General features: G+C 36.5%; 1 long non-coding RNA gene across 1 annotated transcript in view, besides 1 other annotated feature; it reads left to right on the plus strand.

Annotated features, from left to right (window-relative positions):
* Positions 1-17,877, plus strand: part of LOC105373153 (uncharacterized) — a 350,749-nt gene that overhangs the window by 98,315 nt on the left and 234,557 nt on the right. The window lies entirely within an intron of this gene.
* Positions 4,738-5,239: an enhancer, noted in NCBI's record as "H3K4me1 hESC enhancer chrX:33847535-33848036 (GRCh37/hg19 assembly coordinates)". NCBI's record gives its function as "activates a minimal SCP1, AML or CMV promoter by ChIP-STARR-seq in primed H9 embryonic stem cells {active_cell/tissue: H9 hESC(primed)}" and the evidence as "EXISTENCE:reporter gene assay evidence [ECO:0000049][PMID:30033119]".

Below are 17,877 nucleotides of genomic sequence, written 5' to 3' on the forward strand. Positions count from 1 at the left end.
GCAAAGATTTTCTCCATTCTGTAGGTTACCTGTTTGCCCTGATGACAGTTTCTTTTGCTGTGCAGAAGTTCTTTAATTAGATCCCATTTGTCAATTTTTGCTTTTGTTGCAATTGCTTTTGGTGATTTCATCATGAAATATTTGCCCGTGCCTATGTCCTGAATTGCCTAGATTTTCTTCTAAGGTTTTTATAGTTTTGGGTCTTACATTTAAGTCTTTAATCCATCTTGAGTTAATTTTCATATAAGGTGTCAGGAAGGGGTCCAGTTTCAATTTTCTGCATATGGTTAGCCACTTCTCCTAGCACCATTTATTAAATAGGGAATCCTTTCCCCATTGCTTGTTTTTGTCAGTTTCGTCAAAGATCAGATGATTGTCGATGTGCAGTTTTATTTGTAGTTTCTCTATTCTATTCCATTGGTCTACATTCCTGTTTTTGTACCAGTACCATGATGTTTTGTTTATTGAAGCCTTGGAGTGTGGTTTGAAGTTTGGTAGTGTGATGCCTCCAGCTTTCTTCTTTTTGCTTAAGATTGTCGGGGCTATATGAGCTCTTTTTTGGTTCCATAGGAATATTAAAATAGTTTCTTCTAGTTCTGTGAAGAATGTCAATGGTAGTTTAATGGGAATAGCCTTGAATCTATAAATTACTTTGGGCAGTATGGCCATTTTCACAATATTGATTCTTCCTATCCATGAGCATGGAATGTTTTTCCATTCGTTTGTGCCCTCTCTGATTTTCTTGAGCAGTTATTTGTAATTCTCCTTGAAGAGGTCCGTTACTTCCCTTGTTAGCTGTATTCCTAGGTAGTTTATTCTCTTTGTAGCAATTGTGAATGGGAGTTCATTCATTATTTGGCTCTCTGCTTGCCTGTTGTTGGTGCATAGGAATGCTTGTGACTTTTGCACATTGATTTTGTATCCTGAGACTGCTGAGGTTGCTTATCAGCTTAAGAACCTTTTGGGCTGAGATGGTGGGGTTTTCTAGATATAGGATCATGTCATCTGCAAACAAAGACAATTTGACTTCCTCTTTTCCTATTTGAATACCCTTTAGTTCTGTCTCTTGCCTTATTTCTCTGGCCAGCACTTTCAATACTGTGTTGAATAGGAGTGTTGAGAGAGGGCATCCTTGTCTTGTGCTGGTTTTCAAAGGGAACGCTTCCTGCTTTTCCCCATTCAGTATGATATTGGCTGTGGGTTTGTCATAAATGGCTCTTATTATTTTGAGGTATGTTTCTTCAATACCTAGTTTATTGAGAGTTTTTAACATAAAGGGATGTTGAATTTTATTGAAGGTCTTTCCTGTGTCTATTGAGATAATCATGTGGTTTTTGTCTTTTGTTCTGTTTATATGATGGATTATGTTTATTGATTTTTGCATATGTTCAACCAGCCTTGCATCCCACAGATGAAGCCAACTTGATCGTGGTGGATACGCTTTTTGATGTGCTGCTGTATTCAGTTTGTCCATATTTTATTGATAATTTTTACATTGATATTCATCAGAGATATTGGCCTAAAGTTTCCTTTTTGTTCTTGTTGTATCTCTGCCAGGTTTTGGTGTCAGGGTGATGCTGGCCTCATAGAATGAGTTAGAGAGAAGTCCCTCCTTTTCAATTGTTTGGAATAGTTTCAGAAGGAAGGGTATAAGGCTCCTCTTTGTATGACTGGTAGAATTCAGGTGTAAATCCATCTGGTCCTGGGCTTTCTTTGGATTGGTAAGCTATTTATTACTGCCTTAATTTCAGAAATTGTTACTGGTCTATTCAGGGATCTAACGTCTTCCTGGTTTAGTCTTGGGAGGGTGTATGTGTCCAGGAATTTATCCACTTCTTCTAGATTTTCTAGTTTATTTGCATAGAGGTGTTTATAGTAATCTCTGATGGTTGTTTGTATTTCTGTGGGGTCAGTGCTGATATCCCCTTTATCATTTTTTATTGTTGTGTCTATTTGATTCTTCCCTTTTTTCCTTATCATTAGTCTAGCTAGTGGTCTATTTATTAATATTTTCCAAAAACCAGCTTCTGGATTCATTGATTTTTTTGGAAGGGTTTTTTGTGTCTCTGTCTCCTTCAGTTCCGCTCTGACGTTGGTTATTTCCTTTCTTCTGCTAGCTTTGGAGTTTCATTGCTCTTGGTTCTCTAGTTCTTGCAGTTGTGATGTTAAGGGGTCAATTTGAGGTTTTCTAGGTTTTTATATGGGCATTTAGTGCTATAAATTTCCCTCTTGACACTGCTTTAGCTGCATCCCAGAGATTTTGGTATGTTGTCACTTCATTCTCATTGGTTTCAAAGAACTTCTTGATTTCTGCCTCAATTTCATTATTTATCCAGGAGTCATGCAGGAACAGGTTGTTCAGTTTCCATGTTATGGTATGGTTTTGAGTGAGTTTCTTAATCTTGAGTTCTAATTTGATTGTGCTGTGGTCTGAGAGACTGTTATGACTTCAGTTCTTTTGCATTTGCTGAGGAATGATTTACTTCCAACTATGTGATCAATTTTAGAGTAAGTGCCATGTAGTGTCGAGAAGAATGTATATTCTGTTGGGTGGACAATTCTGTAGAAATCTATCAGGTCCACTTGATCCAGAGCTGAGTTAAAGTCTTGAATATCTTTATTAATTTTCAGTCTCAATGATGTAATATTGACAGTGGGGTGTTAAAGTCTCCCACTATTATTGTGTGGGAGTCTAAGTCTCTTTGTAGATCTCTAAGAATTTGTTTTATGAATCTGGGTACTCCTGTATTGGATTCATATATATTTAGGATAGTTAGATCTTCTCGTTGAATTTAACCCCTTTATCATTATGTAATGATAATTTATCTTTGTTGGTTTAATGTCTGTTTCATCAGAAACTAGGTTTGCAACCCCTGCTTTTTTCTGCTTTTCATTTCTTGGTAAATTTTTCTACTTCCTTTTATTTTGAGTCTATGTGTGTCTTTGCTTGTGAGATGGGTCTCTTGAATACAGCATGCCTATGGATCTTGATGCTTTATCCAGCTTTCCATTCTGTGTCTTTTAATTTGGACATTTAGCCCATTTACCTTTAAGGTTAATATTGTTATATGTGAATTTGATCCTGTCATCGTGATGCTAGCTGGTTATTTTACAGACCTCTTTATGTAGGTGCTTCATAGTGTAACTGGTCTGTATACTTCAGTGTGTTTCTGTAGTGGCTGGTTACTTTTTTTTTAAACATATTTAGTGCTTCCTTCAGGAGCTTGTGCAAGGCAGGCCTGGTGTTGATGAATTCCCTCAACATTTGGTTGTCTGAAAAAGATTTTATCTCTCCTTTGCTTCTGAAGTTTAGTTTGGCCAGATATGAAATTCTAGACTTAAATTTTTTTCCTTTAAAAACGTTAAATATAGCCACCACCCCCCCCATTTCTTATGACTTGTAGGGTTTCTGCTGAGAGGTCTGCTGTTGGTCTGATGGGCTTCTATTTATGGGTGACCTGGGCTTTCTCTCTAGCTGTCCTTAACATTTTTTGCATTCATTTTGACCTTGGATAATCTGATGATTATGTGTATTGGGGTTGATATTCTCATGGAGTATCTTACCGGAGTTCTCTGGATTTCCTGAATTTGAATGTTGGCTTCTTGTGCTAGGTTGGGGAAATTCTCTGGAATAATATCCTGAAGTGTGTTTTCCAACTTGGTTCCATTCTTCACATCTCTTTCAAGTACCCCTATCAGTCGTAGGTTTGGTCTTTTAACATAATCCCATAGTTCTTGGAGGTTTTGTTTGTTCTTTTATATTATCCTTTTTCTCTAATTTTGTGTGCCTGCCTTATTTCAGCAAAATAGTCTTCAAGCTCTGATATCCTTTCTTCCACCTGGTCTATTGAGCTATTAACAGAAGTTACATAGTTATACTAGTGTTTGCATTGTGAAGGTCTCATGTTGTGTTTTTCTGCTCCATCAGGTCATTCATGTTCCTCTCTAAACTGGTTATTCTGGTTAATAGCTCCTGTATGTTCTAGTTAATAGCTTCTGTAATGTCTTATCGTGGTTCTTAGCTTCTTGCAATGAGTTATAACATACTCCTTTAGTTCAGTGAAGTTTGTTATTACCCATCTTCTGAATCCTACTTCTTTCAATGTATCCATCTCAGCCTCAGCCCAGTTCTGTGCCCTTGCTGGAAATGTGTTGAGATCACTTGGAGAAGAGGCACTCTGGCTTTTTGAGTTTTTAGCATTTTTGCTTTGATTTTTTTCTCATCTTCATGGGTTTATCTACCTTTAATCTTTGAGGCTGCCGACCTTTGGATAGGGTTTTTGTGGGGTCTTTTTTGTTGATTTCATGGTTATTGTTGTTGTTTTCTGTTTGTTTTTCTTTTAGCAGTCAGGCCCCTCTTCCATAGGGCTGCTGCAGTTTGCTGGGGGTCCACTCCAGACCCTATTCACCTGGGTCCCTCCTGCAACTGGAAGTATCACCAGTGGAGGCTGCAGACCATCAAAGATGGCAGCCTGATCCCTCCTCTGTCCCAGAGGGGCACCGACCTGATGCCAGCCAGAATGAACCTGTATGAGGTGTCTGGAGACTCCCATTGGGAGGTCTCACCCAGTCAGGAGGAGCAGGATCAGGGACCCACCTAAATAAGCAGTCCGGCTGCCCCTCGGCAGAGCAGGTGTGCTGCTCTGGGGGGATTCCCCCTCGTCCAACCTGTTCTGACTCTCAAAAACCAGCAGGCAGAAAAGATTAAGACGATTGATCCACGATACCATAGCCATCCCTCCTCCTAGGTGCTCCTCTCAGGGATATCAGAGTTCTGTCCATAAACCCCTGGCTGGGGATGCTGAAATTCCTGTAGGGAGGCCCCGCCCAGTGAGAAAGAGTGGATTGGGGTCCCACCTAAAGAAATATTCTGGCCACTACCTGCTTCAGATACTGTGCTATGCTGTGGGGAATTGCTCCTGGTCCATACTGGCCAGTCTCGCTGGCACCAGCAGTAGGGGAAAAAGGCCAACTGGAGCCGCAGTGATTGCGACTGTCTCTCTCCCCCAGGAACTAAGTCTTCTTAGGCAATCTCCAGCCTGCTGTGCTGGCCAGTTGGGATTCCAAGCCAGTGAGTTTTACCTTGTGGGGCTCCATGGGAGTGAGGCTGCTTGGCTTCCTGGCTTCAGCCCCCTTCCCACTGGAGTGGATGGATCTCTTGCCTTACTAGAGTTCCCAGAGCCAGAGTATGCAAATACTCCTGTGTCTCAGTGCCTGCTCGAGTTTCTGCCCACTTGCGCAGCCTCTGTGAGTCTGCACAGCAGTGTTCTTGGGATCCAAGGCCCTGGTGGCGTGGGCTCACGTGGGGACCTCCTGATCCTCAGGTTGCAAGGATCCGTGGGAAAAGCATGATCTTCAGGGAGGCTAGCACAATCCCTCACCACCTCCCTTAGCTGGAGGAGGGAGCTCCCTTTGCGCTGTGTAGCTCTCGGGTGGGCCCTCACTCCACCCTGCTTTTTATTGCTCTCTGTGGGTCACGCCAACCACCTAGTCAGTCCCAATGAGAGAACCTTGGTACCTCAATTGAAGATGCAGAATTCACTCGCAGTTTTCATCCTTCTTGGTGGGAGGTGCAGAGCAGAGCTGTTTCTATTTGGCCATCTTGGCTGCTCCCCTCCATATGTGTTGTTTTTATGTTCAGATTCAAATAATCCTAATACATGGGGAAAAATTAATGATTTCTTTCTCTATGTGTATCTGGTTGGCTACTTTATTCAAATAATACTTAGATGGATGCTGATTGGACACATTTCATAAGCCAATGGCTATTTGCTGCATGGTGACAGTTTAGTTTCTGTTTCCCTGAAGTCGGAGATTTAAACGCAAAGAATTTACTTGGGTGGGACAGGGAACACCAGCAGAGGCATTGATGTGTAAGACAGGGAAGGCAAGGCAGCTGATAATGAGTATGTTCTTAAGCCAGTTACCACAATGGACAACCAAATATTAATCTTGCAAGCAAATCCTGTAAAACTTTTCAAAAATGCATGCTTTCACATTATCCCAGCTATGGGATGCTGGAACTGTGATGTTCATACCTGCACACCAACCAGTCATTTGTTAAGGGCCGTCCTTGGGAGTTAGGAGTGGGTTGGGGAGGTGATAAGGGAGATTGTTTTCTAGGCACTTCTGGGCAAAATGGTCTCTGGCAGTACTACTCAAGACATTATCTGTTAACAGAACATGTTTACCAATTATGGGAATAGCTTTCCAAATTGCCAGTGCATATGAAGTGGTGAATAGATTGCAAGGAATCATCTAATAATAGATTAATGGGGCTTGAGAACAAGATGGTGAATTGGGCATGCATTTCTTACCTCCTATTGCATTGAATTTTCAAGACATGGGGAAAAAGAGCCTTGCAAGGGAAAAAGTCATTAAAGCAGTGGAAAATAAGAAATGGTACCACCAGTAGTCTAGAAATGTTGAGAGACTTCTAACAAGAGGAAAGTAGGTAGAATGGCATTGGCAAAGAAAATTAGATCCCAAAATATGCAGAGAGGCTTCTTATAGGTAAGAATGGTTCTGTGGAAGCTCTAAGCATGGGGTCACTTCATGAAGAAATGGAAGAGAGTCTTGAAGTGTATATCAGGGTGATTAATTAGAAAACTTTGGAGCAGCAAAGTTTTTTTTTTTTTTCCTCTCCACTTCTTTTATTTGTGTTGAATACTTGGCAGAAGGCCATGAGTATTAGTCCTGAGGCTGAGAATGAACAGCAGAGCTCATATTGCCTTTAGACACCCAGAAGAGGCGGGGAATCTCTGACAGTCAGAGGACAACTGTATCAGGAACATGTTCCCTTTCCCTTCACTCTGCCAGAGCAGACCGTGGTAAACAGATTAGGCAGGAGATGGAGACAGAAGTGCTCAAAACAATTCTGAGCACACCAACATGAACTATCAAATATCTGAGGGAAATAAATATCATAGAAAGCAAAATGCTAAAATTAAGCAACAGGAGATTTAACACTCCCCTCCTTCACCAGATGAGGGGGAGGGGAGACACTTAATATGGTGTGGTTGAAGAGTAGAATGTTCTCTGATAATTGGTGAATTACCAAGTAATATTGAACCAAATAATTCTTTACCAAAGCAAGTGAAATGGGTACATGCTGGAACATAAGAGGGAAAACCGAACCTTGGTGAAAAGAGATCCAGATATACTATTGTTATTCTAGGTAGATTTCCAGAGAGAGAGGTTAAAATAAATGTAAAGAGGAAAAGTAACTAAATCATGGAAGAAAATTTCCCAGACTTACTGCTGACCACCGGCAAGTTGGATGGCAAAAAGGATAAATGTTAACTATCCACACGTAGACACATAGTGATGAAATGTTAGAACAGTGACGATAAAGATAAAAACCTTTAAATGGTTTCACACAGAAAAATGAAACAAAAACAAAGCAAAAACATGCAGAGTCTCCACAAAAGAGAATGAGTCATATCACTGTCACACTTATTATCTACAACATCAGGTAAAAAACGTGGAGCAGGAATACTTGATATTAAATAATAGCATCAAGAAAGGCTCATCAACATTAAATACAACTGATTTGTTAGGAAAGAGAAGTAAAATTCATCAAATGCCTAACGGATTAAAACTTTTGTAATATGATTTTATCTCACCTAGAGGTAGATAAGGCATAGAGATACTAATTACTCAAAGCAAGACAGAAGTTATGAGTAGATGTATGATACAAACTCATGTCTTTTAGATGCTATGAGCTCTTGTCCTATCCATTGCTATATTCTTTGTATTTCTTTTTATTATTATTCAAAAAATATTTGTGGGTACATAGTAGGTGTATATATTTATGAGGTACATGACATGTTTTGGTACAGGCATGCAATGTGAAATATGCACATCATGGAAAATGGGGTATCCATCCCCTCAAGCATTTCTCCTTTCTGTTAAAAGCAATCTAATTACATTCTTTGTTATTTAAAATTATACAATTAAGTTATTATTGACTTATTGCTACCCTATTGTGCTGTCAAATAGTAGGCCTTATTCATTCTTTCTATTTTTTTGTTTTTGTATCCATGAACCAAACCTACCCCCATCTCCCACCCAGCCTCCACTACCCTTCCCAGCCTCTGGTAACCATCCTTCTACTCTCTGTGTCCATGAGTTCAATTGATTTGATATTTAGATCCCACAAATAAGTGAGAACATGAGGTGTTTGTTTTTCTATGCCTGACTTATTTCACTTAATGTAATGATCTCCAGTTCTATCCATATTGTAGCAAAAGACTGGATCTCATTCTTTTTATGACTGAATAGTACTCCACATTTTTCTTTATGCATTCATCTGTTGATAGACACTTAGGTTGCTTTGGAATTTTAGCTATTGTAAATAGTGCAGCAACAAGCATAGGAGTGCAGATATCTCTTCAATATACTGATTTTCTTTTTCGGGGGTATATACCCAGCAGTGGGATTGCTGGATTTTATGGTAGCTCAATTTTTAGTTTTTGGAGGAACCTCCAAACTGTTCTCCATAGTGATTGTACTAATTTACATTCCCACTAACGGTGTACCAGGGTTCCCTTTTCTCCACATTCTCACCAGCATTTGTTATTGCTTGTCTTTTGGAAGCCATTTTAACTAGGGTGAGATGATATCTCATTGCAGTTTTGATTTGCATTTCCCTAATGATCAGTGATGCTGAGCACCTTTTCCTATGCTTGTTTGCCATTTGTATGTCTTCTTTTGAGAAAGGTTTATTCAAATCTTTTGCCCATTTTTAATCAGATTAGTAGATTTTTTTTCCTATAGAGTTGTTTGAGCTCCCTATATATATTGGCTATTAATCCTTTGGCAGAGAGGTAGTTTGAAAATATTTTCTCCCATTCTGTGAATTGTCTTTTCACTTTTTTGATTGTATCCTTTGCTGTGAAGAAGCTTTTTAACTTGATGTGATCCCATTTGTCCATGTTTGCTTTGGTTGCCTGTGCTTATGGGGTATTGCTCAAGAAGTCTTTGCCTAGACCAATGTCCTGGAGATTTTACCCAAAGTTTTCTTGTAATAGTTTCATAGTTTGAGGTCTTAAAATTAAGTCTTTAATCCATTTTGGTTTCATTTTTGTATATGTCAAGAGGTAGGGGTCTAGTTTCACTCTTTTGCATATGGATATCCAGTTTTCCTAGCACCATTTATTGAAGAGACTGTCTTTTCCCTAGTGTATGTTGTTAGCAGCTTTGTCAAAAATGAGTTCAGCCAGGGGCGGTGGCTCATGCCTGTAATCCCAGCGCTTTGGGAGGCCGAGGCAGGCAGATCACGAGGTCGGGAGTTCGAGACCAGCCTGGCCAACGTGGTGAAACCTCGTCTCTAATAAAAATACAAAAAATTAGCCGGGCGTGGTGGCAGATGCCTGTAATCCTAGCTACTGGGGAGGCTGAGGCAGGAGAATCACTTGAACCCGGGAGGCAGAAGTTACAGTGAGCCGAGACCATGCCACTGCATTCCAGCCTGGACAACAGAGCAAGGCTCTGTCCCCAAAAAAAAAAAAAAAAAAAAAAAAAAAGAGTTCCCTGTAGGTGGGTGAATTTGTTTCTGAGTTCTCTATTCTGCTCCATGGGTCTATGTGTATGTTTTTATGTCAGTACAATGCTATTTTGGTTACTACAGCTCTGTTATATAATTTGGAGTCATGTAATGTGATTTCTTCAATTTTATTCTTTTTGCTTAGGATAACTTTGGCTATTCTGGGTCTTCTATGATTCCATATAAATTGTAGGATTGTTTTTCTTTATTTATGTGAAGAATGTCATTGGTATATTGATAGACATTGCATTGAATCTGTGGATTACCTTGTACAGTATGGACATTTTAACTATATTCACTCTTGCGATCCATGAACATGAAATATCTTTCCATATTTTTGGTTTCCTCTTCAATTTTCTACATCAGTGTTTTATAGTTTTAATATAGAAATCTTTCATTTCTTTGGCTAATTCCTAGATATTTATGTGTGGCTATTGTAAATGGGACTACTTTTTAAATTTCTTTTTCACATTGTTCAGTGTTGGCATATATAAATGATACTGATTTTTGTATATTGGTTTTGTATCCTGCAACTTTACTGAATTAGTTTGTCAGATCTAATAATTTTCTTGTGGAGCCTTTAGGTTTTTCCAAATATAAGATCATATCACTAGCAAATAGAGATAATTTCAATTCTTCCCTTATAATTTGAATGCCCCTTATTTATTTCTCTTGTCTGATTGCTTTAGCTAGGATTTACAGTAGTATGTTGAATAACAGCTGTGACAGTGGGCATCCTTGTTGTGTTCCAGATCACGAAGAAAGGCTTTCATTTTTTCTCTATTGAGTATGACACTAGCTGTGAGTCTGTTTTATATGGATTTTATTATGTGGGTGTTCGTTCTTTCTAGTCCCAATTTTTTTGTGGGTTTTTATCGTGAAGGGATGTTGGATTTTATCAAATGCTTTTTCAGCATCCCTTGAAATAATCATATGGTTTTTATCTTTCATTCTGTTAATATGATGTATCACACTGTTTGATTTGCATATGTTGACATATACTTGCATCACAGGGATAAATCCCAGTTGGTGATGATGAATGATCTTTCCAATATAGTTTTGAATTTGGTTTGCTAGTATTTTGTTGAGGATTTTGCATTAATATTCATGAAAAGTATTGGCCTGTAATTTTTTTCTCCTCCTCTGTTTTTTTGGAATAATTTGAGTAGAATTGATATTAGGAGTTCTTTAAATGTTTGGTAGAATGAATCATTGAAGCCATCAGGTCCTGACCTTTTCTTTACTGGGAAACTTTGTATTACAGCTTCAATTTCCTTACTTGTTATTGGTCTGTTCAGGTTTTGGATTTCTTCCTAATTAAATATTGGTAGGTTGTATGTATCTAGGAATTTGTCAATCCATTCTATATTTTCCAATTTATTTGCATATACTTGCTCATAGGGGCCACTAATGATCCTCTGAATTTCTGCAGTATCAGTTGTAATGTCTCCTTTTTCATATCTGATTTTATTTGGATTTTCTTTGTTTTTTCTTAGTCTGGCTAAAGTTTTACCAATTTTGTTTAGCTTTTCAGAAAACCAATTTTTTTCATTGATATTTTGTATTTTTTAAAATTTCACTTTCATTTATTTCTGCTCTGAGCTTCATTATTTTATTTTTCTTTTACTAATTTGGGGTTTGGTTTGCTCTTGCTTTTCTAATTCTTTAAGATTTTTAGTTAGACTGTTTATTTGTATTTTTTCCTCCTTTTTGATGTAGACACTTAAAGCTATAAACTTACCTCTTAGTACTTCTTTTGCTGTATCCCATAGGTTTTGGAGTGTTGTGTTTCCGTTATAATTTGTTTCAAGAAAATTTGCAATTTCCTTATTAATTTCTTCACTGACCCACTGGTCATTCAAGAGCATATTTTTTAATTTCAGTGTTTTTGTATAGTTTCCAAAATTCCTCTTGTTCTTAATTTCTAGTTTTCTTCCATTGTGGTTAGAGAAGATGCTTAATATTATTTCAATGTTTCTGAATGTTTTTAAGACTTGTTTTGTGACCTAACATATGGTCGATCCTTGAGAATGATCCATGTGCTTAGGAAAAGATTTTGTATTCTGCAGCTCTTGGATGAAATATCCTGTAAATATCAATTAGATTAATTTCGTCTGTAGCGCAGATGAAGTCTGATTTTTTTTATTGATTTTCTGTCTGGAAGATCTGTCCAATGCTGAAAGTGATATGTTGAAGTCTCCAACTATTATTGTGTCAGGGTCTATCTCTCTCTCTTTAGCTCTAATAATATTTCCTTTGCATAGCAATCAAGCAAGACCCCCATCTCAAAAAAAAAAAAAAAGAAAGAAAAAGAAAAGAAAAGAAAAAAAAGCAACAGCAGCCATGAGGATATTTGGAAGAAAATTTGACACATGAGTGCTGTTGGTAATAACTTTGTAAAAATTACACAAGCCATGGAGCATGTTGTTATGACAATTCCAGACTGAAATATGAGCGTAAGACAACATAGTTATATCAACTGTGACAAGCTTCCAATTTGCTGTTATTACATTGAATTTCACGTGCTTGCATTAACATCAGAAATACAGTATAATATATATTAGATACACACATACACAGATAGTTTTACCACCCCCCTCCTAAAAAAAAGGAGAAATGGAAAGGCATTTCTATATAAACAATAAAATAACAAAAGCAACATAATAAACCAAAGTACTTGTAAAGCCACAACATAAGCAAGGATTGATGTCCCCCAATACACAGGACTGATATGGTTCTGTAAAGTTGCAGCTGATGCTAATAGCATGGCTTGGAAGCAGTCATAATCCAGAATGCATACAAAGGCATAAGAAATTCTCATTCTGAAAGTGAGTGCTTAACCCAGAAACATAGATTACCCAAGGAAGCACAATGCCATTGGTAGAAACACTCCAGTAAGTGTTAACACTCATACTGGCACACTAGGAATACTAGAGTACTCTATACTGACTTAAATACATTTAATACCCTCAATAAACAAAGGGATCAAGTTCATTGTATTGGTTATTAGTTAGAAATTACGAAAAAAAAATGAACCAGGGAACAATAAGTAGACATTTATGAAGAATAACTATTGTGGTATTTTGAAAAAAAATGTGTTGAAATACAGTAAAAATATTAACACAAGTTTTTTGCTGAATAAACACAGCCAAAAAATAAGTTAGTAGGCAGAAAGGTCAGGTGTAGCAGTATTCTGAAACAGATTTTAAAATATATATAAAAAAGGGAAGCCATGAAAGAGAAGACTGGAAAAATATATAGATCACCTTAATTTTTTAACTAAGATTTCTGAATGAAAGGGTTGAAAACTGATGGGTCCAAAATAATTGAAAAAATCATAAATAAAAATTTTCCAGAATTGAAAGTACGTATGGATCCTGATATTGGAATAACTCTTTTGGTATATAGCAGGGCAAATGAAAAAATGAAACTTGTCCAGAATCTTGTAGTTTCAATTTTGAGTCACAGATAAGAAGAAATTTCTAGAAGTTAACCACAGTACACTTTCAAATTCCCCTAGAGAGTGGTTAAAAATTCTCAACAAATGTGTCAATATTTTCCAAGTATGAAATTTTGGGCGATTAATATACATGATGGCTGGTGTTGGTGCTCTTACTTTTTTCTGTTTCTTTCAGAGTAGAAAGTAATGTTTAACTACATTAATCCTATTTAAGATTTCTTTTCAATCATTATTTAAAACTGCTATAGCAATTAAAGGATGTTTTACTGTTTGGTATTATGTCATAGATTTGAAAATTATTGCTGTAAAATATCATCAGTGTTTTAATGAATGGAGAGCATCGTCTATGTGTATTCTGAATTCTTAGTCTTGCTGCCCACATGTATTAAATTGTATGAGCTATTGAGAAGAGAAGAATCTCATAAGTAAACAGGAAAACCAGGATAATATTCCTATAAGCACTCTGATACTATTTTTCTCCTTGCTACAAAATGTCTTTTTCTACTTTTTAAAGTGATTCATATTTATTTTTTATGAAATTATCTATCTTTGAATCTATATAGTCTATCAATATATTTGAATATACAAAATCATCTCTGTGGCTACTGTTTTATATAATATCCCTCATTTTAATTCATATATTTTAAGTTACCTATGATTTAAAACAACTAATATTGGCATTGAATTTCAAAATCTACAGATTTTAGTGTCAGTTTAATGGAATATGCAAGCAGAGGTCAACGGCATGATCTTTTTATAAATATATATTTAAATAAACTATTATGTACGCTTATTTTACATAAGATTATATTCTCTGAAGTTCATGTGACAGCTTTCAAATGTAGCTAACATGGATTGTCTTTAGATGAAATTACATCTTCTTTGTAAGCTATCTGTTCCCTTTACCACGTATTTAACTACTAAGCATGGAGTAAAGGGGAAAAGATACGAGTCAGTGTCTAAGTCAAGGATATAAAATAAAATACCTCCTATCTCTGAAAAGCTTAGACTGCAAAATTTGTTGAGCAAATATGCATAGTGATTTAACAGTTTAACTTTTCTTCCCTCATATCAGAACATTCAGCTAATGTATTTACTATGAGAATTTCTACTGTTTTTATGAGTGGAAGATTGAGGTTAGGTTGAGGTACAAAATAAACTACCTAACAAAAAAATCCGCAAGCAAACAAAGAATTGTACTTATCTACTGCTCAAAATTTGGGAGGAAAAGAGATGTTATGTACCACAGTTAAAAATATATTTCTGTATATAGCCATGCCCAAGGGCAGTAACGATGTCTTATTTAAATTATTACCCCTGATGCCTACAACATATAATTTTGCTACACAGTTGAGTAAGCTGCCTATATAAACTAAGGTTTAAAGGAAAGTTCACAGATACTTAATAGAATTGATAGTTAAAGTACAAATAAGACTTTATATGCCTGGTTATTTTGTAATGTATCTACTCTAGAGTATTGGAATAAAAAACATGAAGGACATTGGCCTGCACTCTTCAAAACTATCAAGGTCATGAAAGACAGACCTCTTCCTGATTAAAGGAGACTTAATAGATACAATACCTAAATGCATATGATTTGGATCCTAAACAAGGAAAACAAAAAGATTTTTTGTTGTTGTTATTCTATTTTTTTTTTTTTTTTTGATATGGAGTCTCGCTCTGTCGCCCAGGCTGGAGTGCAGTGGCGCGATCTTGGCTCACTGCGAGCTCCACCTCCGGGGTTCACGCCATTCTCCTGCCTCAGCCTCCCGAGTAGCTGGGACTACAGGCGCCCACCACCACGCCCAGCTAATTTTCTGCATTTTTAGTAGAGACAAGGTTTCACTGTGTTAGCCAGGATGGTCTCCATCTCCTGACCTTGTGATCTGCCTGCCTTGGCCTCCCAAAGTGCTGGGATTACAGGCATGAGCCACCGTGCCCGGCGTGTTGTTGTTATTCTTTTGCAATAATGGACATGAAATTAATTGGTGAAATCTGAAAAAGTTTTTAGATCTAAATAATAATAGTGTATCAAAGTTAATTTCCTGATTTTGATAATGTCCTATGACAAGCTTGTCCAACCTGCCACCCTCCAGCCACGTGCAGCTCAGGATGACTTTGAATGCGGCCCAACACAAATTTTTAAATTTTCTTAAAACCTTATGAGTTTTTTTTTTTTTTGAGACTCGTCAGCTATCATTAGTGTTAGTGTATTTTATATGTGGCCCAAGACAATTCTTCTTCCAGTGTGGCCCAGGGAAGCCAAAAGATTGGACACCCCTGTTATGGCTAAGTGAAAGAATTTCCTTGGTTTTTTTTAAAAAAAGGAAGCACTGCAACATTTAGAAATAAAAGGCATCATGTCTGCAACGTAAGAGTACACAGGAGAAGACGTAGTAACAGATTAACATTTGAAGAATCTAGGTGAATATTATACAAGAATCGTTTGCTCTATAATTGCAGCAGTTATGTAAATTTGAATTTTTTGAAGGTGATGAATTAAGATACAGACTAAAAGCACACTTCCAAAATGGCAATAACTTATAGGTGAGTTCAGTGAATTGGCAGGGAAGGGAACAATAGAAAGACAGCTTGGAAGATTTTCAATAGCAGCTGTCCATTTAGTAGAACAAATCAGCAGTTCCTGCTTTTTTCTCAATGCTGTGGCATTGTTTTCACTGGGGCTTTAAAGGGAAGTGGCTGCATGCCAGTTTCTGTGTTCTCATCCAGCTGTTCAGACACTAAAATGACTTAAGTAACAAAGGCTGAAGTTTGAGAAGCCATGCAGTTTGCCTCCAAGACAAGTGAACATGTTAACAGAATATTTACAAATTTATTTAAAATGGCAATCATTGGTCCTGAGAGATAGGGAAGAAAGCGTTCTTACTTAACTAAGAAAATGATCAGTAGGTGAAATATCCAAGAGGTGTTTCTTAATACATCTCTATTCTGCTCCTATTTTATCCTGTTATACTGCAGTTCCCTGAATTCTCAAACTCAGAATTTGACAAAGTAGAAAAAAATTAAGTGAATTTACTTGATGTTTTGAAAACAAAACACAAACAGCTTTGCCTAGTACATGTATAAAGTTATTACATAGTCGCTATAGATTGACTTTCCACCTTTCAAAATAATAGACAACAAAAATGAATCTGAATTTGTAAAGCACATTTAACCTCCTCAAGCTCTTGAAATAAAGTTATTCATTAGCAATATCTCAATGATTAAATTCAGGATAACATGGGATTTTTTGAAAAAGTGTGAAAGCAAATAGAAGCATTTAATAGCTGGTTTACTATTTTGTGTTCTGTGGAAGATTATGTTTCAATTTAATAAATAATGAAAAAGAACATTTCCTTCCTATTTTTAAGTAAAAATATGAGTTGTATTCGAGCATGGTTGTGGTGCACTTCTTTTGGAGACTTACTTAGTTATTTAACTTGTAAATATCCAGGAAATCTGAAAAACTAAAATAAACCAAATATTTTCATTATAAGTAGCATACCATTTGAATATTTAAAGTATGCTACAAAAATAACACGTAAGGTGTACACTTCTTGTTAAGAAGATTAAAAAAAGCAATGCTTATAGTCTTCCAACTCACTCATCATGGGGCTTCATTATTTGAATTTATTCAAAGAGTAAACAAGCAAAACCTCTCAAATCTCATTCTGCATAAATCTGATAATGGTTCTGACCAATTAAAACTTAGGTGACCAAAATAGATCATCTGTACTTTATTATGTGGAGCACTTCACAGAATAATTATTTGAAGGATAAATAAAAGTTAACTACTCTCCATTTTCAAAGCTAGCAAAAACCAGTTCCATTGTATGTTTTCAATTAAGCAACACAATTTACCAGAACCCAAGGATTTTTATAAGCAGTTTATCTACCCCTAATAATGGACTAGACAGTAAAGTAACTTGATCTCTGCCTTTTGTTTTTTTTCTTGGCCAAGGAGGTGATGGTAAGTAACTCTATTTGCAGTGGTGTGAGAGCCCTCTTTTTTCTACTGTAATGCAGTGATTTTTGACTTCACATTATTCCTACATGATACCTTCCATGCTATTCTAATGTCTATATATAATTTTCTGTAAACTACTTTATCATAGACTGTATCATATGAGGCATTTACGAATTATTTCAAGCTTCAATTCTATGGACGGTCACTTCTAATGGAAAATCCACAGTCCAGGATGGTCTATCTGGTGTTTTATAAAAAAATTCACACTCCAGAGGTGGCTACCACAAGCCCCTGTGCTATCTGTATCTCCACCAGTACCAAGCATTTTGCTGAATTTCATCCTAAATGTCAAAAGGAGTTTTAATCAATTAAATTAAAAATTTTATAATTGGCATGATTACTTTCATTGGTGAAATTACAATTTTTCTTATTATTTAGTTTGGTTATAATATTTTTAAGATATCTCCACTGTTAAAATGAATAAGATATAATAATGTAGGAAGGATCATACAAATAATGTGATTCAGTAATTCTACTACTGGGTATATATCCAAAGGATTTGAAGTCAGGATCTTAAAGAGATCCCCGCTACCCTATGTATAATGCAGCATTATTCATAATAGCCAAGATATAGAATCAACCTAAGTGTCTGTGTATATATGAATGCATAAAGAAAATGTGGTGTATTTACATAAAGTAATACTATTTACTTTAAAAAAGATGGAAATCCTGTCATTTGCAACAACGTATATTAACCTGGAGACATTATGCTAAGTTATATAAGCCAGACACAGAAAAACAAATACTGTATGATCTTATATATGGAATCTAAAAATGTTGAATTCATAGAAGGAAACAATAGAGTGGTGATTACCAGACCTGGGACTTGGGGAGATTGGAGAG

This window comes from Homo sapiens, chromosome X (genome assembly GCF_000001405.40).
Source record: "Homo sapiens chromosome X, GRCh38.p14 Primary Assembly".
Taxonomy (NCBI): domain Eukaryota; kingdom Metazoa; phylum Chordata; class Mammalia; order Primates; family Hominidae; genus Homo; species Homo sapiens.